The 22383-nt window shown below is 38.0% G+C and overlaps 1 protein-coding gene across 10 annotated transcripts in view; it reads right to left on the bottom strand.

The window, feature by feature from the left end:
- Positions 1–22383, bottom strand: part of RGPD2 (RANBP2 like and GRIP domain containing 2) — a 233859-nt gene that overhangs the window by 10829 nt on the left and 200647 nt on the right. For 4 of the 10 annotated variants that reach the window (XM_047445734.1, XM_017004845.2, NM_001078170.3 and 1 more), the window contains 5 exons: positions 21934–22051; positions 18287–18381; positions 15336–17559; positions 8156–8295; positions 5381–5576 (listed from right to left, as the gene is read on the bottom strand). In XM_047445734.1, the coding sequence (XP_047301690.1) occupies positions 5381–5576; positions 8156–8295; positions 15336–17559; positions 18287–18381; positions 21934–22051 (2773 nt within the window). Of the gene's footprint in view, positions 1–5380; positions 5577–7367; positions 7474–8155; positions 8296–9442; positions 9643–11119; positions 11992–12358; positions 14450–15335; positions 17560–18286; positions 18382–21933; positions 22052–22383 lie in introns of those variants that run through there. The other 6 variants (XR_007081580.1, XR_007081581.1, XM_047445738.1 and 3 more) reach the window with 6 other exon arrangements.

A 22383-nucleotide genomic window follows, 5' to 3' on the forward strand; every position in this document is an offset into this window, starting at 1 on the left:
AAGATGTTGGCATGGCTGGGGTCTCATCTGAAGGCTGGACTGGAGAAGAATCTACTTCCAAACTTATGTGGTAGTTGGAAGAATTTAGTTCCTCAAGGCTGCTAAACTGATGGCCTGTGTTCCTTGCCTCTGGGATGGTAGCTTGCTTCAACAAAGTGTGCAAGCAGAGAAGACAGAGAGAGTCCGCTAGCAAGATAGAAGCCACAATCTCTTGTAATCTATCATTTTTGCTGTATGCTACTGGTTAAAAATAACTCATTAGGTTAGCCTACTGGCTCTCAGGGGGAAGAGATTATACAAAGGCATGAATTTCTGGAGGAGGGAATGAGGGCAAAGAACTCTGAAAAGTTTCTCTTCCACAATCTGAAGAACTTCTAGAAAGTAGAAGGAAGCAATATTGCTTAGGGATGGACAACTTGGCACTGGTTATGTGTTCCAAGTGAGGTAACCTTGTTCCCAGGAATAAAGAGAACCAGATGACTGTAAACATTTCCCTAAACTGAAATGCACTGTTGTATGTTCACCTGAAATGAATGGTGTAAGCTGAATATGAGATTTTTGACAAAATAAAAATTTTGCTGTGTTCTCAGATCTGGCAGGCTATTGTGAGGCAATGTGTCATTTTACCTTATAACGCAGAGTTGTAACATGCTACTCTGAGCAGCTCATGACATCTGCTTGAAATTTAAGTTGGGCCCCTAGTATGTGTTTATTATAAAGATTTTGATGCTGCTTTTCAGAGTTGGGTAACCTACTTTACCCCCTTAGCTAATGTTTCCCAAATACACCCAAACCCACAGAAAGGAAAACTATTCCTCATTAACTCACAGCCAACATCATAAACATTTTATATCTAGAGCTGATGATACAGTCAGGTATTTACCAACACTCATGTATATATGTAGAGTTTCAAGAAATAATTGCTTATCCTTACTAGATTCAACATATTCTAATGTTTCACATATTATTTTTATTTCTTAATTTTTTTTTTAAAGATGGGGTTTTACTCTGTTGCCCAGGCTGAAATGCAGTGGCATGACCAGGATTTCGACCAGAAGTTTGACTGCAGCCTCAAACTCCTTATAACAAAGAATCCTGCTGCCTTAGCCTCCCGAGTAGCTAGGACTATGGGCACATGCCACCAGATCTGGTATATTTTAAAATTTTTGTAGACATAGGGTCTCGCCATGTTGCCCACGCTGATTCTGAACTCCTGTTCTCAAGCAATCCTCCTGCCTGGTCTTCCCAAACTTTTGGGCTTACAGCTGTGAGTCACTGACCCCAGCTTGTATTCTTTTGATTTTAAAAAAATATTCTGAATGTGATCCACCAAATTAATTTCACCATCCACTAATAGGTAGCAACCTGAATGAAAAATACTGTTATAAACTTTACACAAAACCAGAGATTATAAACATTTGCTTCCAAGGAGAGAGGTAAAAGGTACTTGTTTGCTCTGATGGGCCCTGTTTCCTTCAGTGCCAGGAAGAGTGGCTCTCAGACCTTTCTTCTGGCATCCCTCATGTATGCAGTGTTGGTTATTATTTTCAAGGCCTTGGTAACCAAATGCCCCTAGTGTGACCAGTCAGACTGACAGTCCATATCTGTAATATGGTGGTAAGTTTCCTTTGCATGTCTTTCTTTCTGGCATCTTAGAACTTTTACCTAGGAAATTTTCTTTTTGCTTGAAGTACATCATTAAGAATTTTCAGTGAAGGCAGATTCTTAAAGTTTTTGTTTTCCAGAAGAGATCTTGGAAAATATAAAAGGTTGGCAGTTATTTCTTTTAGTACATGAGATAGTATTACACCAATGCTGTTGAGAAGTCTATTGTGAGGCAATGTGTCTTCTTTCTCTGGCTGCTTTTGAGATTTCTCTCTGTCTTTTTTAGGGGCAGTTTTACTCTTATGTGACTAGAAGTAGATTTCTTCTTTTTTTTTTAATATTGCTTGAGATTTTATTGGGTTTTTGAATCTGTGGATAGATATCCTTCAACAGTTCTGAAAGATTTCCAGCCATTCTCTTCATATATTATCTGTGCTGTATTCTTGTCTCTCCTTTTAGAACTTCGATTAGTAAAAACATGTTTGATGTCTTTTCCCACTCTTGTTTTTTGTTTCTCCCATGCTGAATTCTGTGTAATTTCTTTTGAACTATCTTGTAGTTTACATTTTTTTTTTTTTTTTTTTTTTTTTGAGATAAGAGTTTTGCTCTTGTTGCTCGGGCTGGAGTGCAATGGCACCATCTTGGCTCACTGCAACCTCTGCCTCCTGGGTTCAAGCAGTTCTCCTACCTCAGCCTCCCAAGTAGCTGGGATTACAGGCATGCACCACCACGCCCAGCTAATTTTTGTATTCTGAGTAGAGACGGGGTTTCACCATGTTGGCCAGGCTGGTCTCGAACTCCTGACCTCAGGTGATCTACCCTCCTCAGCCTCCCAAAGTGCTGGATTACAGGTGTGAGCCACCGTGCCAGGCCTTACATTCTCTCTCTTAAAGAGAAAATGTAAGGTATCTAAATCTGCTGCTAAACCATCATTGTTTTTAATTGTAATAAGGTCTCTTTTATGTACTCACATTGATAAGAGACAAGTAGGAAATAATCTTTAAAGGGCAAACTAATTTAAATGTGTTTTCCTGTCTGTTTACAGGACTTACCAAATGCACATCTTAGAGTTCTGGGTTTCTAATGTGTATCTCCTCTATGAAATTCTTTAAAAATATCTGTTCTTGGTATCCCTTAGGTTAGTCTCTTTTAGAACTTCTAAATCAATGGACCCTTAACTTATAGGAGCCACCTGGACGTTAGCAACGTCTACATTAAACATGCTGAGCTTTTAAAAGAGACCTGTTAGACATGCTGAGTATTTTGAGATAATATCATTGTTGTATTGAAAACTATTGAAAACTTTAATTTTAAAATGCAAACATTCTTAAAGTCCTGGTTAATTTTATAACTATAAAATTAGTTATAATTTTGAGATTTCTGTCTTGTTTTTTATAGGGGCAGTTTTACTCTTAGGTGACTAGAAGTAGATTTCTTCTTTTTTATAACTATAAAATTAGGTTTACTTTTGTTAGAATAAATTAAAGACAGTGAACTTGTAATTTGAATAACTACTAAAAATATACATGATGTATTCTTATTTGGGCCCTTGTGACAAAAATACTATTGTGGCTATAGAAACCTATCCTATAGTTTGAAGAACTGAGATTACTGTCAGTATTGAGAACATTCCTCCTTCATCATTAGAAAGATTATTAAAAACCAGATTCAAAGAAACTATCAATACTACTTATGAAGTATGTCTGTAAAAAAAATTAAGCCTGAATCTTATCAGGCCTCTAGACCAGGGATTCTCAAGGTATGGGCCCCAGACCAGAAGTATCAGCAACGAATTGCTAAAAATGCAGAATCTTGGGTCAGAAATTGGGGACCAGCAATTGGAATTTTAGTAAGTATACCAGATGATTCAGATGCCTGCTCAATTTTGAGGATGACTCTTATCAGTTTAGTTATTAGGATTTACAGGGGATGGGGAACATGTTAAAGAGCACCAACTAGATAAGGTCAATCAGTCAAAAGTAAGATGTCTGGACATTCTGGGCCTCCTGATGTCTTAGAAAGCACACAATACCATCTATGGTGTATTTTTGTCCACCATCCCACCCAATTGCACCTGGATCTTCCTATTTATAGGCAATTAGAACAAGCTCAGTGTTACCCTGTAATGATTAAAAACCAAATATAGGACTGCTATAGCATAAATGACCACTTTCTTCAATTAATAAGTGGCACATTAAAAATATATTTATATATGTAATTGTTATAGATAAAAAAAACAAAATGGCCGGGCGTGGTGGCTCACACCTGTAATCCCAGCACTTTGGGAGGCCAAGGCGGGCAGATGACAAGGTCAGGAGATTGAGACCATCCTGGCCAACATGGTGAAACCTCGTCTCTACTAAAAATAGAAAAATTAGCTGGCGTGCATCTGTAGTCCCAGCTACTTGGGAGGCTGACGCAGGAGAATCGCTTGAATCCGGGAGGCGGAGGTTGCAGTGAGCCATGATCGGACCACTGCACTCCAGCCAGGGTGACAGAGCAACACTACGTCTCAAACAAACAAAAACACAACAACAAAATAAAGCTTAAGGAACATCAACCAAATGCAATATATGAGCCCTATTTAGGATACTATAAAAAGACATTCACAATAACACAGGCAAAATGAACATAAACTAGGTATAGGTGACAGAGAAATCCAATAAACATTGAATTATTCACTGGGGAAAGAAATGATGTGTGGGATTTAAGTCTCTAACTCTCCCCTATTTACGCCAAAAGATTGTCCATGAGTTGAAAACCGTTAGAGATGGGTGACAACTCAAGAGAGATTATAGCGTCTTCCTTGTGCTTGTAAATGTCAAAAATAAAAGTAATTTAAAACTAAAACAAAAATGAAACCATAATTCTTAAGATGCAGCTTGAATTCAGTTAACTATAGCAGTTGTATATGAAGCATTTCAAAGAAGTTAATGACATCACAGTATTAAATCCATCTGACATGGAAACCAACTCTAACTACATCATAGTTTTTTTTTTTTTTTTTTTTTTTTTTTTTTTTGAGATGGGAGTCTCGCTCTGCCGTCAGGCTGGAGTACAGTGGCGTGACAGATCACTGCAACCTCCACCTCGTGAGTTCAAGCGACTCTCCTGCCTCAGCCTCCTGAGTAGCTGGGACTACAGGCACATGCCACCACGTCCAGCTAATTTTTGTATTTTTAGTAGAGACGAGATTTCACCATGTTGGCCAGGATAGTCTCAGTATCTTGATCTTGTGATCCGCCTGCCTCGGCCTCCCAAAGTGGTGGGATTATAGGCATGAACCACCAGTGCCTGGCCTATGGCACAGTTTTAAAACTGCATTTGCCTAGAAAGTGGACTGCTGTATATAGACCAAGTGTTGGGCTATATGACTCCATTGTCTTAGGCTATTTGGGGTTGGAGGAAGGAAGAGGGGTGAAGTAGAAAAGGAACAAGCTAATAAATGTTTTTTAAAAAGTAGAATTTAAAACAAAACCACGTTCAGCTGAACACCAGAACTCAACACCAGGATAAAAATCCAATTTTCAAAGAGCTAGAAGATCAAGCTAAGCACTTATTGTATTTTGCTGAACGTTAAAATTATATAAATGTACTACAGTTGCCTCAAGATGTTAAAAAGTCAGCTTTTCAAATCTAGTCACGGCCTACTCATATGACAGACCCAATACAAATGAGCAAAATTGAAAAGTTACACATACAGACAACTTCTCAACCACCAGGCTGTTTAGTTTAAGTTAGAAGTCAGAAGTTCTGAGACTCTCCTTTTACCCACCTTGAGCAACCGCAGCAAGTTTTCCCTTTTCTTCAGGGCTGAGCTGCAACATCGTATTTATAACAGGAAGAAGGCTCTCTCTCTCACTACCTGGCTTCAAGAAAATGAACTGCAGCAAGACGTTCTTCAAGTGTTCCACGTTAGCTGCAGACTCCTCTTGATTCCTTTCCAATCTTCTTATTTCACTTTTGAGAAGCTGGTGTTAGAGAAATGAGTTAAAAATGGGCTTTAGGAGCTTCTGATTAAATATGGCAGACTGAACTCATGTATTTTTCTTCTCTTCCCCCCAAATTTCCCCCTTCCCTCCATATGGCAATAAAGGAAGGAATTCAGTTAACTACAGCAGCTGCATGTGAAGCATTTCAAAGGAGTTTATGACATCACCGTATAAAATCCATTTGACATGAAAACCGGAACTCCAACTATGAGATAGTTTCAAAGCTGCATTTGCCTAGAAAGTGGATTGCTGCATATGAACCAAGTGTTGGGCTATATGACTCCATTGTCCTAAGCTATTTGGGGTTGGAAGGAAGAGGGGTGAAGTAGAAAAGCAACAAGCTAATACAAGAGGAGAAAAAGTAGATGAGATAACGTCAAGACATTCTCACGAGAAACAGATGAAGAGGTGGAAATGAGTCAGTCCAGCAGCTTACCAAGTATCACTGACAGGAGAGGATGCATCCTGTGTAAATACTGGAGTTCTTGTCTCAGAAGCACAGGGTATCATGGAAATGGAGTTGAAAGCTGGGGAACTGATGGAACGTCTCCATGAGGAGCAACTAACTGGAGCCATGGGTTGGTACCAAGATGTTCCCTCTGCCTTCTACTTTTGATAGAAACTAAGCCAGTATGGCATGGGGCTCTGAAAATGGGCTGAGGGGAACATCGGTAGCCTCCACTAACCCCCTGCCCCTACGCTGTTCCTGAAGTCCCAGGCAGTTAAGACGTCCACAGTGAACGGCACTTAAAAAGTTCAGACACAGTGAAAATTCAGGAATATAAGACAATGTAAAACACTATCAGAGAAATGAGGCAAAGAACGATATAAAAAAGGTAGTATCATGTTCAAGTCTTTGAGGAAGATTTCCAGGTTGAAACCAAGCCATAGCTTTTAGTATATTTTCATTTTAGGTTAGGCAAGAAAGTTAGCGAACTTTGTCCTCAAACCTAGGACCATTTAAAAAAGTGACAATAAAGAAGACGAAGAAATCATGAAGAGAGTATAAATTTATGAAAATATAACATTTGGCCAGGCGTGGTGGCTCATGCCTGTAATCCCAACACTTTGGGAGGCTGAGGCAGGCAGATCATGAGGTCAGGAGATTCAGACCGTCCTGGCCAACATGGTGAAACCGTGTCTCTAGTAAAATAAAAAAAATTAGCCGGGCATGGTGGTGCGTGCCTGCAGTCCCAGCTACTCGGGAGGCTGAGGCAGGGGAATCGCTTGAACCTGGGAGGCGGAGATTGCAGTGAGCTGAGATTGCACCACTGCACTCCAAACCTGGTGACAGAGCAAGACTATCTCAAAAAAAAAAAAAAAAGAAAATATAACATTTAAATAAGTCATTTAGGTTTACTGGGCTAGTTAGTGATTTGTTAGCTATGATAATGTTTTTATTAGTGGGAAAATGCTATTTTATAGAGATGCATACTGAAGTATTTAATGGTGGAATGTCATGATATATACAATTTACTGAAAATAACTGAATTCGGCTTTAAAATAATCTGACAAGGATAGCTAGTGGCCTTGCACAGTGGCAGGACAGATCTACTAGGAACAGCAAAGTACAGGGGAAAAGCATGTACTTTTCAGACAGCTATGAGTTTGAATTTTGTTCCACCATTTACCAGCTTCAATTTTTCTCTCAACCAGTGATGAGATTAAATAATGTATGTAGAGCCCAGGGCCTGGGTCATAAGAACTCCTCAATAAGCAGTATGACTATATTCTGAGGGGTGATTTATCAGTGAGCCAGGGTGGAAATACCTCATTTGAGTAATCCTCAACTGTTCTGCAACATTCCTAGATGTTTCTGGTGTCTACTTTAAACAGGAAAAACTTCCCATGCCACTTTGCCATCTCCACCTGAAAACTGTTTAGTAGTTCAGTACTATAAATATCAGTTGAATAATTTAAATTCACTGGTTATCTTTAGAATTCAAAGACTCACACCCATTTTTTATTTAAGCATATGTGAACAATGATTTGTGAACATCTCTCTAGTTTCTAAATCTATTACGGTTTCTTAGGAAAAGTAGGAATTAAGAAATAATCTTTATGTAATAGGTGTAAAAGAAGTATTTTGGCTGGATGCGGTGGCTCTTGCCTGTAATACCCACACTTTGGGAGGCCAAGGCAGGTGGATCACGAGGTCAGGAGATCGAGACCATCCTGGCTAACATGGTAAACCCTGTCTCTACTAAAAATACAAAGAAATTAGCCAGGCATGTTGGCGGGCACCTGTAGTCCCAGCTACTCGGGAGGCTGAGGCAGGAGAATGGCGTGAACCTGGGAGGTGGAGCTTGCAGTGAGCCGAGATCGTGCCACTGCACTCCAGCCTGGGTGACAGAGCAAGACTGTCTCAAAAAAAAAAAAAAAAAAAAAAAAAAAAGGCAATATTTATTTCTCACCATCAGGAATCTAATAATCTAATATAAAGATCAAGACGTTATAGATGCATCTGCAATGTGAATTTTTAAACTTGGGTGCATGTGTATGGAGGGTCCAGAAAACCAAACTGGCGGTTTTCACAGTGGCCAGGTTTCTGATCTCACCTTAATTTGCTCCATAAGGACTGCACTGGTTGCCTCTGTTTCCCGAAGCAGGCCGTTTAACTGATCTGCACTTTTTGTGGTGGAACTGAGCTTCTGAACCAATTCTTCTTTGGTAAATTCAGCATGCCATAATGGAGGCTCTGCAACATGTTGTTCCAAGAATTAATTTTCAAAATCATACATTACAGATGAAGATTCTAAATAAGAAAAATCTAAATATAAATATCTTACTATGTGATATTTTATAGGTCTGCTTTCTTTGCCATTCATCTATTCAACATACCTCAATCAACAGATTATATGTTGTAGGTGACACAAATAAAACAGTATCTCTGTTGTAAAGCATGTAATCTAACTGAATACAAGCCCTATGAGTCCCAGTTCTGAAATTTGTCAGAATTGTGTTTATAGACAGTTTTATTACACATCTTCTTCCCATCTATTAATATTCCAAGATTTTATGTCATTTCACGTATAAGGAAAGCATTAACATTTACTGGTCACGTATCATGTTCCCTCATAAGAATCTTCTATCAGGCGGGGTAGGTATCATTATTCAAACTTTACAGACGATGAAACAGGCTCACAGTTGACAGGTAATTTTTTCAGAAATCACAAAGTCAAATTGGCTTCTGGAGTCTGCTGCTCTATCATGATGCCTCCGTGTCACCACTATTAACTTTGCCTGAAGGAACCATGACTTGCAGTTTCTACCCCATGTGGTCAGTGACCATGAATACAAATGACCCTTACTCCAGGTGATTCTGAAGTTTCAGGAAGATGACAGATTCCCCCTAAATTTTGAACAGTAATATTAATTACAGGTAATAAAATATACCAAAACATCACTACAAAAATTTAGCATTACTTCATCAAGAGGAATAAACTGAAACTGTCAGTTTCTTGGAAGGGTGAGAGGATAGTTTATCCTGCTTTCTAATACCCACCACCTATTTGTGACTATAAACTTCCCACCACTTATTTATGGTTCAAGCCTAGGGCAAGAGCTAGCATTTTATTTTAAAAAAGATTTGTTTAATAATTTTTCCATTTGGACAGTGTGATGGTTAATACTGGGTGTCAACTTGATTGGATTAAAGGATGCAAAGTATTAATCCTGAGTGTTGTCTGTGAGGGTGTTGCCAAAGGAGATTAACATTTGAGTCAGTGGGCTGGGGAAGGCAGACCCACCCTTAACCTGGTAGGTGCCATCTAATCAGCTGCCAGCGAATATAAAGCAGGCAGAAAAACCTGAAAAGGCGAGACTGGCCTAGCCTCCCAACCTACATCTTTCTCCTGTGCTGGATGCTTCCTGCCCTTGAACATCAGACTCCTAGTTCTTCAGTTTTGGAACTTGGACTGGCTCTCGTTGCTCCTCAGTCTGCAGATGGCCTAGTGATCGTGTAAGGTAATACTTAATAAGCATCCATCCATCCATCTCATCCATCCATCCAACCATCCAATTAGCTCTGTCCCTCTAGAGAACCCTAATACAAACAGGTAGTGGAATATTGAAAGAAATTTTATTGGAGCAGCCCAAAAAAGCATATGTACCTTAGAGTAATAGTAATTAAATAAGACAGTGAAATTAAAGAAGAAGAACATATTTAGACAGAGTAACAGACCAAGTTTAGTTTCGGGAGAATTAAGCAGCTGCTCTAAAGACTGTGTGTATGTGCTGGCGGAAGACACAGACTCCGTAATCAGTTGTCTCCATGCCTTCTCCCTCTTCCCGGGTTACAGTGTGCATGTCTAGAAGCGGGAGGTCTGTGTTTCTCCTTTCTCGAAGGTTCTTCAAAGACTGCTGAGAGGAAACTGGGCCTATTAGATTTTTTTTAAAGGTTAAGTGTGAGATTGTTCAAAATCTATTGATTCGGCCTTACAGAGATACACAATAAAATGAAAATATCAAATGATAAGAGTAGAGGAATTAAGTAACTATAAGTGAAAGGTGTATGAAGAATTGCTAAAACATTTCCTAAAATTTAGTCATCAAGGCCAGGCGTGGTGGCTCAAATCTGTAATCCTAGCAGTTTGGGAGGCTAAGGTGGGTGGATCACGAGGTCAGCAAGTTCAAGACCAGCCTGGCCAAGATGGTGAAACCCTATCTCTACTAAAAATACAAAAATTAGCCAGGCACGGTGGCAGGTGCCTGTAATCCCAGCTGCTGGGGAGGCTGAGGCAGAGAATTGCTGGAAGCCAGGAGGCGGAGGTTGCAGTGAGCCAAGATCATGCCACTGCACTCCAGCCTGGCGACAGAGCGAGACTCCAGCTCAAAAAAACAAACAAACAAACAAAAAAAAACTTAGTCATCAAACTTTTAACTACGTTAGTCATTTTAATAGCAGCTATAAATTAATTGCTACTAGCTAAGATAAACTGTTAGATAACACAGCTCATAATATAGTACTACTTATTTTTTATTAATTTAGAGTAGAGGGCCAAACTACTGCTAAATACTGGCCAAAATTAAAAGACTAGATTCTAGCAATTTTTCAGGATTAGGTATTTCAGATTGCGGCATACTTCTTGAAACACACTTGCCGAAATCTGCTTGGTAGACATCCTCAATCACTGCCCTTATACCTTTACCTCTGCAGCTTCTTAATTGTTGCTGCTCACACCTACAGTGCTCATACAGTTAAGAGCCCAGAATCCAGGGCACAGAACTAATCAATTACGTTGCCTAGCAAGACTTTCCTGTTTGCTGATAAACTATATTTTTTCTGAGACAGGGTCTCACTCTGTCACACAGGTTGGAGTGCAGTGGCACGATCTTGGCTCACAGCAACCTCTGCCTCCCAGGCTCAAGCCATCCTCCCACCTCAGCCCCACAAGTAGCTGGGACTTCCAGGTGCATGCCATCCCGCCCAGATAATTTTTGTACTTTTAATAGAGATGGGATTTCACCATGTTGTTCAGACTGGTCTCAAACTCCTGGCCTCATGTGATCCACCCGCCTTGGCCTCCCAAAGTGCTGAGATTGCAGGGGTGAGACACCACGCCTGGTCTAAACTGTAAAGTTTATCGGGCCCTTTGACATGTATTGGTTTATTGACTCCCAAAAATCTGAAGTTCAGAGAAATTTAATGACTTTGCCCAAGGTCTCATAACTGAGTTAGAAACCAGAATTGTAATCTAGATTTTTAAACTTCAGATTTCATTTATTTTGCATTTCATTAAATTGCCTTAGTCCTGACTGCCCTTTCTAAAGCATTTTCCTGGGTTTCTGGTAAGCTGACTGCTTATTCCACTGCTGATTGCTAGATTACAATCTCTTGTGCGACCTTTGCCCTGGCTGATTACTTCCTTTGTTGATTCTTTGGCATATGTTAAATTCTTCTGAAGTTGCTTTTTTACCCTAATAAGTGACCGATAGCTGCTAATGCTCCAGTGACAATATTTCCCATGGGAAACCAAAACACCATCAACTTGCTACTAAAATACTGCATCATCATGGCTGACATTTTTCCATTTCTTCCTGGAAGCAGAATGGAAGATACTGGGTACGGCTGAACTAAAACTCCAACTAATTGTAAATATGAAAGCAAAGAAGCTATATTGGTTATGCAATTCTACACATTCAGTGCTGCTTGAGTGTTTCTAAGTTCCTTGCTCTAGCTAATGTTTCTATTTAAAAAGTAGACAAATTTGATGACTAACAACGGAGAACACGAAACAAATCTGGTGAATACCAGAATTAAGACATGTGTCAGCCAGGCGCAGTGGCTCATGCCTGTAATCCCAGCACTTTGGGAGGCCGAGGCGGGTGGATCACGAGGTCAGGAGACCGAGACTATCTGAGGGAGAATCTTCAGGTTTTTTCTTCTCTTTTGCTGTAACACCAGTCAAAAAAATTGACAAAGATAAGGTATTAAGTATTGACGTTAATACTCTACCTGAAAATAAAAACCATGGAACCTATCTATAGGTTAAAACAGCATACTGATAAAAAACACATATACTTTGATGCAGAGATGTACGATAATCATGAATTAGAATTAGCATCCTGATTTAGTTTTCTACCAAAAACCCTAAGTGAACACAGAATCTATTTAAAACGAAAGAAAACAAAAAAATCTTGTGTTTACTTAATAGTCATTGAAAAGAATTACTACAAATTTCTAGAATTTAAAAAGGTTAAAAATTTTAAAGTGTTGCCTAACTATACTTAGCATACAATAGTTTACCAAAATATCCATGCATTTGCAGCAATTGAAAAAAATCTTAAAACATAAGCAAGTATTAGTATACATATGAAACTAATCCAAAGCCAACTGTGATTAGTTCCTGTAAGGAAAGTTAACAATTGCCAAGAATGGAAGGTGACTAGAGTTGCATCTAGTTTGCCTGTGTTCAAGCATGATACTAGATAAAATTAAATAAAAACTGTTACTCTATGGGTAGCTAACACTATAAAATCTAAGACCATTCATATGGCTGAAAACAACCCATCCCCAGCCACCATCAATGCAAAGGGCAAAAAATTAGAAACAGAAAAAACTTCTATATGCAACCTGTTCTGATCTATTAATGTAAAGAACAACTTCTGGCTAAAGGAGTTTAATAAAGTAAGCCAGTTATGAAGCATGCCATGTATACCAACTGGTGACAGGGAAACATTCTGAGAGCTATGGTGTCCAATATGGTAGCCTAGCCACATTCTATTAAAACCTCACAAGGTGGCTAGTCCAAATCAAGACATGCTAACAGTAAGTGTAAACACACACACTGGATTTTGAAGACTTGGTGAAAAACAATAATGTAAAATATCATTAATTTTTATATTAATTAGAAGTTAAAATGATATTTTGGACATAATGAGTTAAATCAAATCTATCGATAAAGTTACTTTCATCTGTTTCCCTTTTTAACTGTTTCTTTTTATTCTTTTTAATATGGCTACTAGAAAATTTATTTATTTATGTATTTATTTGAGATGCGGTCTTGCTTTGTCACCCAGAGCTGGAGTGCAGTGATGTGATCATAGTTCACTGAAGCCTGGAACTTGTGGGCTCAAGTGATCCCTCTGCCTCAGCCTCCCAAGTAACTGGGATTATAGGCACAAGCCATTGCACCAAATGACAATTTTAAATTACATACACAGGTTATATTTTATTTCTATTGGATGACACTGCTCTGCAGAACCAGTGCCCTTCCTTTTACAATGTTAAATTTGTCCCTCTCCTTCATTATAAACGAAAACCTAGTATCATTTCCTAGCTAGGAGAAATAACAGTACACCGTAAGATACAGATTCTTGTTCCACTTCTGCTATTACTCAGTAAAGACCTCTTGGGTAAATCAGATAGCCTCTCTTGGCCTCAGTTTACTCATGTCTAAAGTCTTCATTTCTAAGGTCCCTTGGGACAATGACATTATCAGATTCAAAACAGAATAAGGCTCTATGTTCTACAGTAGTGTATAGGCACATTCGTTCTTAGGTCAGGGATTCCTAACCTAGAGCTCACAGAAACTGTACGCAAGTATACATCCACTTTTAAGTTAACACTTTTCACATTTCTCAAAGACCGTATCTTTAAAATAAAAGATTAAGAGCTACCTTAGCTGGTAATAAAACTGGTATACTTAAAAAAAAATCAGAGATTGTTATTTTATCATTGTACTTGTTTGGCATGGCTAAGATGTGTTACTGGTCACTAAGGGTGAGGTTTCACTTCCCTAACCTGTTCTTGAAGGCCTTCAACAGATCCCACTTCTTGTTCCACTCTAGTAGCCACACTTCTAAAAATGATCTGTGCAACATATATAATATGCAAGCTGTAGAATGCTGGCTGTTAAAAATGGGGTCCATTTTCAAATACAACATTTTTCTAAACCATGCACAAAAGAACAGCCCTACAGGGACACTCTTCCATACTGTATACATGCCGTTGCCACTACATGTGAATACTGGCAGACGTTAGTGGCTAAAGATAAACATTAGATAAAACATAGGTCTTCACTGAGCAGACCTGAAATAGCAGAGCAATGAAGTACATTACAAATCAGCATCCCAGTACATTTTAAAAAACAAACCAACAAGGGTGTCATGCCACCAGTCAAAAGGTACTTTGCTTAAACTGGCATTCTTTAACATTCATGTTGTAGTGGTAAGTACTTCATTTCATACAGCCACAGTTATTAATACTTTCCTAAGGGCTACCAGCTGCTAAAAACTGCTGTTATCTCATACTGAGAATGCTAGTTCTATACCTTTGCTCTCAGGCTGTGAGGAAGGGGTGCTAGTCCAAAAGGCCATGGGATTAGATTTAAAAAGGCTAAAATTAAATCCTAGAAAATAAAGAATATTTCATTTTTTAACATTTTAGGAAACAAAATGAATATGCTTTTAAAACATAAAAAGCCAGAATCCCTCAATTTATACCACCAATCTGACTGTCTTACATATTCATTTATCCCTGTAGTTTCATTCTTTGCTCATTTAATACATGAGCAAGACTGACATACAACACATAAAATGAGAACATCTCAATATCATGGTTTTTTTTGTTTTTTTGTTTTTTTTTTTTTTTTTGGAGACAAAGTCTCACTCAGTCAGGCTGGAGTGCAGTGGCATGATTTCAGCTCACTGCTACCTCCATCTCCTGTGCTCAAGCGATCCACCTGCCTCAACCTCCTGAGTAGCTGCTAATTATAGGCACGCACCACCACGCCCGGCTCATTTTTGTATTTTCAGTAGAAACAGGGTTTCACCACATTGGCCAGGCTGGTCTCGAACTCCTGAGCTCAAGTGATCTGCCCACCTCAACCTCCCAAAGTGCTGGCATTCTAGGAGTGAGCCACCGTGCCCAGCCTCAATATCATGTTTTCTGAGTGACAAAAGAAACAGAACAAATGAAAATGAACACTTTAAAAAAAGACTCACGTTAATGCGCATGATTCAAGCATGAGTCCGTACACTGTACCAAGTTCTTTTGCTCTGCCCTAGCATGATAGAAGTATCTTCCAGTTACTGAAATGTCTTTAACTAAGTTCTCTTGCTCTTTGAAACCTCACCGTGAACTTATTAAGGGAGAAAAAAAATTGCTCAAATATTTTGGGGGTGTTCACAAAGCATCGTTTATATCCCAACATTAGTATCCCACAAAGAGTCTGCATCAAGCTAAACATTAAAAGAAAGAAAAATTGTGCTTAACTTTAACAACAAAGTACCTACCCTTTTCTGGTGTTTTAAATGTGTAGTTGATTGAAGATTCTTCCATTGGAAAGGAAGCAGAGAGATTTTTGACTTTGCTATCTGAAGACTGTTCGATATCAGAGTTCTTTGACAGTTCACATTTTTTAGGTTCCACTTTGCTTTCAGATCCACTCTGGGCTACTGAACTAGTTTCACTATCGTTACTTTTCAAAGGTGCATTAAAACTAAATCCAAACAAAGACCCAGTGGCAGAACTGTTGCCAAATGCAAATGGGTTTGATTTTTCACTACTAAAAATTCTTTTAACAGACTCTGAACCAAATACAAACTTTGGAGGAGAAACCACTGCTTTTGTTGTTGTTTCAGATGTGCTAGACACTTCAACTTCTGAAGCTGCATCTGCTACATCATCACCCTGAATAACATCTGTCCTCTCTCTTGTGGTTTCTTCTAATACAGCTACAGCAATTTTGCCACATGGTGACTCTCTGGGAGTGCTTGACCGAGAAACATGAGGTGTTATCAAAGAATCTTTTTCCTGGGCTGTTTTTGCTTCATCAAAAATTTTCTTAAATGAGTCTGCAACATCCTGTAGTTTAAAACGAACAGCTAAATGCTCTACTTTTCTTTCTCCATCTGCAAAATCACATGCAGTCCACACCCATACTCTTTCTGTCCCTTTCATATTTTGCAAACTCATGTCTGGAGTTATTCTGTGATTGGCACAAAGTTTTAATACTTGGTCCCTTCTCATCACTATACGAACTTGCTTATTATCATAATTCTGTAAAATCTTTATATCACCAATGCCCCTTTCTTTCCATTGACCAACATCTTTATCATATCTGTAGAGTTCTGCCATGTGACTAAAAACAACTTGTTCATTTTCCTCACCACTGGATACTTCAACTAGATCAGGTAAAGGAACAACAGGTTCAAAGTACTGTCCATCTCTCTCTTCTTCTTGAGTAACATCAGATTCTTCATCAGTGCCAACTGAAGTCCCACTCTGATTCAACTTGGCAGGAGACTTAGATAGACTCAAAGCAGATTTAAAACTGAAGTTAAATCCTGTTGTTGACTCATCAAAGCGGAAAATATTTTTTCTCACAGGGCTACTTGCCAACGGAGAATCATGTACTGAGCTACTACTAACATTATCATCCAAAGCATCTTCCCTTAAATCATAGTTATCCCATTCTAATGTGGGCCCAGTGTTTTCAGGATTGGGTTTTATTGTTGTGTCTGAGGCACCGGCTGCACCTGTACCTGAACCCTTATTTTCTTCCTCAGTGACTTTTGTTTGATCATTTGTCAAAAACGTTTTGAAATCTTTCAGTCCACTCTTCATTTCTTCAGCTCTCTGTATTAGCTTGGCAGCTCTGCCAGTATCTACAAGTTTATGGGGAGTTTGAAGTGGTATGTCTAACAGAAGCCGCTGGCATTCCTCAAATTTCTGCTTGAATTCTTCAGCCAGCTCTGGTGTTTTAAATTGTGCTGCCAACCGCTCTAGTTTGGCATCACCATCAGAGAAATCACTGGCTAACCACATCCATGCTCTATCTGATCCAGAGAGGGGCTTCAGGTTCATTGTAGTTGTTATCCAATGATTAGCACACACTTTTAGTACTTGGTCTCTTCGCATCAGCATTCTTGGTTTGCCATTGACCTCATTTTTGAGAATTTTTAAGTTCCCCAAGCCCCTTTCTTTCCACTGACTTATCTCAGCATCAAATCTAAATAGTTTTACCCCCTGTGAATACAGAACTTTTTCACCTTCTTCTCCTGTTACAAGTTCTACTTTTTCAGGCATTTGAACTACTGGTTCAAAATGGATGTCATCGCTGTCCTCAGTCTTACAGGCATCATCATCTTTCTCAAAGTCACCGGAAGTGTTTGCTTTATTGGCCATTTTACCGCATTGTGATGAGAATAATTTTTCTCCAGCACCTGAAAATCCCTTGAAATTGGGGTCTTTTTTGCCAAACTGAAATCCTTCTCCTGAAGTTGATTTTGCAACATCTGCAAATGTAAAAGTGCTACTTGTTTGGCCAAAAATCACACCACGGCCATTCTTCTGGCCACTAATATCCTGAGCCTGGAAGCCAGTATCATTTTCAAGAGGCTTTTCACTTTTCTTTTCTTGATTTCCTGGTTCCGAAATGCCAAATTTAAATCCATCAGCAGACACAGCGATGGAAAATCCTTCTTTGGTTGACTTAAATTCTGTATTAGAAGAACCCTGAAACATAAATGAAGGTGAATTTTCTTGATCCACATGCCCAAAATAGTCATGAAATAAATACCTTCTTCATTCCTAAACAATTTATCAAATGATGTTAACAATAATGATGATGATGATGATGATAACATTTATTGAGCATTTATTAATGTGCCAGCTGGGCACTGTTCTAAGCACTTTACATTATTATCTCATTTTAATATCCTCAAAAACCCTATGAATTAAGGTATTATTATTACCCTCATTTCACATATGAGGCAACTGATGCATTGAGAGGTTAAGAAACTTGCCTGTGGTCAAAATAAGCAGAAGAACAAGGGTCTAAATGCACCCCAACACTCTGTCCTCAAAGCTGTCACATTCAACTACCACTGTAATATTGAGTCTTCAATCAATTGTTATATATATAGCTGTATCAGGCCTGAAAGTACTTACCACATAGTGGGTCAGCAAGGGCATTACAGTTCTATTTCTGTTAAAACAGAACGATGAAGGATCCACCACCACCACTCCCATTTTTAAAATATTCTAAATATTCACACTTATTAACACAAAAATAAGGTGACTAAGAAGGATAATTTCTGTATTTGGAGATAAATTTAAAATATCTACATTTTAAGGGACATAAAAGTTTTAATAGTGAACTGCTCTCTTGAATTTATTTGAAGGAACCCTAAACAATTTAAAAAGAAAATAATTATAAATGTATAAATTATTCCTTTGTTACCTTTGTGGGAGTAACATTAGCTGCTGGTCTGAGAAGATACTGGGAATTATATGCTGGTGACTGACTATAATATACTGAAGGGCCAGTAGTTGCAACTAAAAAAAAAAAAAGAAAAGAAAGAAAACACTGTTAAAGTCTATACTACAGTTAAGACTATCTAGGCAAGAGCTATAAATACAAAAGCAATAGAAATTAAAGAAAGATTTAACTACATAAATTTTAAATTTCTGTACATCAAAATATACCAATCAAGATTATCAAATGACAAACTAGAAAAAAATTGCTAAATATGACATGAAGAATAAGAGAATAGCATCGCTGTGATCAACAAGAACTACCTCACAAGCATTAAAAAAGGAATAAAGGAGAAAGTAACTGTTGCCTTTTCTAAGAAAGATCAGTATGATGTGGAATTATGGACATTCAGTCACAGAAAGGACGTAAGGAACCAAGATGCCATCTGATGGTCAATGCATTTGAAGTGGGCCTAGAAAATCTGCAGAAAGACTAGGTTGTATTTTGTAAACTAAAGCTATTACTGAGAATGTTCAGCTCAAAAATCACCTGACAAATTCATGGAAAGGATGTCATAAATAACATAAAATGTGTTCCCTGGCTTAAAATAAAAAGCACATCAACACTCATACAGATGTACAAACTGTCTGCTCCCTCTGTTTGGTCTGTTTTACCAGGAAACAAAACGACTAGAAGGCACCCATGTTAATGACAAAACTACCAATAGTCATTTGCTTGAACTGTTTTATGATAGTTTTACCAGAAAACAACCAAAAGACCTTTTATGCCTGTACATGGAAGAAGAAACAGAAACTGTGCCAAGAGGTTCCAAACAATTGCCTCTGGAAAGCACTGAAAAATCAAGACCTAGAAAAGGCTAGCCAGAAGCCCAAGTTTGATTTTGGAAACCTTACAGAGGTGAGGATAACTATTTTGAAATTACTATGGGGAGGAAGCAGGCACAGAACACAGAACAACCTGACAGAAATGGCCCAAGAATCTTAAAGTCTTGCAAAATGTCTGTCTGCATGAAAGCAAAAAGAAAAAATAAAATATTAAATAAAAAAAAAATCTTAGTCTGAAGTTTAAGTAGGGACTTTAATTGACTACTGACTCTAAACTGTGAGGCTCTAATAAATATACTAAAAGTAATCTAATTTTTTAAAGCACCATATGAATAGACAATTTAGGAAAGAAATGTTAATAGGCCTCAAGGAACATGTTTTTGAAGTGAGCCTTGAAAATCTGCAAAATGACAAGGTTGCATTGTGCAAATTGAAGCTATTATGAGAATGTTCAAGTCAAAAAAATTACCTGACAAATTCATGCACAGGATCTCACAAGGAACACAAATGTGTTCGTTGGCTTTAAAAAAATCACATTAACATTCATGTTGATATACAAAAACTCTTCTCCATCTGTTTTGTGTGAGTTTTACCAAGAAACCAAACAACTGGAAGGTACCCACGTTGAAGATGGCAAAACTACCAACTGCCATTTGCATGAATTGTTGAGCATGACTAGTATTAAAAAAACTTAAAAATTGATATAACTTTTGTTCCTACAAATTGGCAAAGGATTTTATAAACTAGTAAGTCAGCATTAGCAAAAGTGCGAAAATGGCACTATCAGATACTAGTGGTAAGAGCATAAACTGAATATTTTGAATACCCTACAAAACTAGGACAGTGTCCTAGAATTTGTAATGGCATAAACCAGAAACAACATAAATAAAGGAACAGAATTTACAGTACTTCCATGTGATGGGACACCATGAACTCATTAATATTCAAAAAACATTTAAGTTTAAAAATGCTCAGAACTAAAGTAACATTTAAAAAACAGGCTAGCTCATCTACACACAACATAGTAACATGGTAACAATCTCATAAAAAATACTATATGTATAGAGAAAGAACCAGAAGGAAATGCTCTCAAATATAAGAAATGTTAATAAGGTGGTTAGTTTTTAGTTTTCTTCACCCTGTTCAGTACTTCTGAGTATCTCCTATGAGCTCATTAATCTTTAATTTTAATCATCTTATTTTAAAAAAACAAGGACCATCTTGATATATGTTTACTTTTATTAAGGAAAAAGAATCTATGAACACAGGAACAGAAATCAGGAGATCTTGGCTCTCGCCCTTTCAGTGCCACAAAGCTGTTTTGTGAACCTGTAAATAATCCATTTGGAGTCTCCATGTTTCTCAATTGTAAAATGAGGATATGCTGCTTCTACACATTTCACAGGGTCATTGCAAGAATAAAATGAGACAATGAGAATGTTGGATTTACATGCTTGTATAAGAACAGAAGACCTTTTATGCCTGTACACAGAAGAAATGGAAATCATGACCCACAAGGCACCAAATAACTGACTGCACACGTCACTAAAAAAGCCCCAGGAAAGGCTAGCCGGTTTGTTTATCCTCTTACAAGGACCTATATGATGTGTAAGGTTTTAAGAAAACAAGGTTTGAACGTTAGACATTTCATATACTTATCTATGACTTACGACATTTAATAAGCTTGACTTCACAAAGATTTTCTGTTATTTTGCTTGTGTTGAGAAGATACTATCACAAAAGGCTAGTGGGGTTGCCTTAACTATAGGAACCATCACACAAATGTGCTCATCTAAACTAGATTTTATTCTAAATCTTTCCTGGGCTAAAAAGAGAAAAAAAAAAGGGCACTACTACTACCATTTCAGAAGTCTGTCGTACGTAAAAGGAACAATTTTTTTATTTCTGGCTGCCTGGGAGCAATGTATTATACTGGCAAGTGCTTTGGAGTTACACCACTGGAGTGTGAATCTCGGCTCTATCAATAACTAGCTGTATAATAATGAGTAAGTTACCTAACCTTTCTTTATCCATTTCCTTATTTATAAAAAAGGGATTAATAATGGTACCGGCCATTCTAAGTTACTGTAATTAAATCAAATTACATTCACAAAGCACTTTTGCACATAGCCAACCCACAGTAAACACTATTAGTAACCTTAGTTCATTAACTGTTTACTGTATACTCTAATAAATGTCTGATACACACCCACGCCCACCTGCACATACACAAATGCTCATAGTAATTATGTAAGGCAAGTATTATCTCCACATTTCAGACAGGTTAACTTACACAGCTATTATAGTAAGTGATAGAGCAGAACTTAAAAACCCTGTATGATTCAGGTCCAAACTCCTTTTCTTTCTTTATATAACCATAATATTTCAAATTAAGTAAGATTTCCTATATAACGTCCTGCCTCTCATCATTATCATCAAAATAATTCCCCAGAGGTGTAGGTTCTTAATTAAGCATTTCTTAGTGCATAACTCTATTCAATAACATTTTTCAATTTAAGGAATAATCTCATCTCAGCTCATCTGAGGTGTGGATTAAGTGTTCTTTAAGCCTTTATATACACGTGATCACATACGGCTCGTTTTTTCTGCTTGGGATTATAAAAATCTCCGTAACACCAAATACAGCTTTTGAAGTCACATATAAACAGACGTTGACATGTATATTAACAAACATATATAAACAAGGTGATTTCACACGTTATCTACTTAAAAGAGGGAAGTAAAGTAGTTTTACTAAAATATGCGATTATGCACTTGCCAGCTCACCTGTTAGTGGAGCCCCATGAAATGTCTGTGACCCCTGATATCCATCAGGCACCGAGTCTGGTCCATAATTCTCTGTGGGCCAACGATGACGGGATGCTGACTTACTGCTATTTAGTTTCTATTGGAAGAAAAAAAAATCAAATAATTTTAATCATTTAATTATATCATGCCAGAAACAGTGCTGGGGAAACTTACTCTTTTAAATTTAAATAACTGATTTTTTCTTTTTTTCTTTTTTGAGATGGTGTCTCGATCTGTCATCCAGGCTGGAGTGCAATGGCACAATCTTGGCTCACCGCAACCTCCACCTCCTGGGCTCAAGCAATTCTCCCACCTCAGCCTCCCGAGTAGCTGGGATTACAGGCGTCAGCCAGCACACCCGGCTAATTTTTTGTATAATAGTAGAGATGGGGTTTCACCATGTTTGCCAGGCTAGTCTTGAACTCCTGA

The sequence above is a fragment of the Homo sapiens genome, chromosome 2 (assembly GCF_000001405.40).
Source record: "Homo sapiens chromosome 2, GRCh38.p14 Primary Assembly".
Classification (NCBI taxonomy): Eukaryota; Metazoa; Chordata; class Mammalia; order Primates; family Hominidae; genus Homo; species Homo sapiens.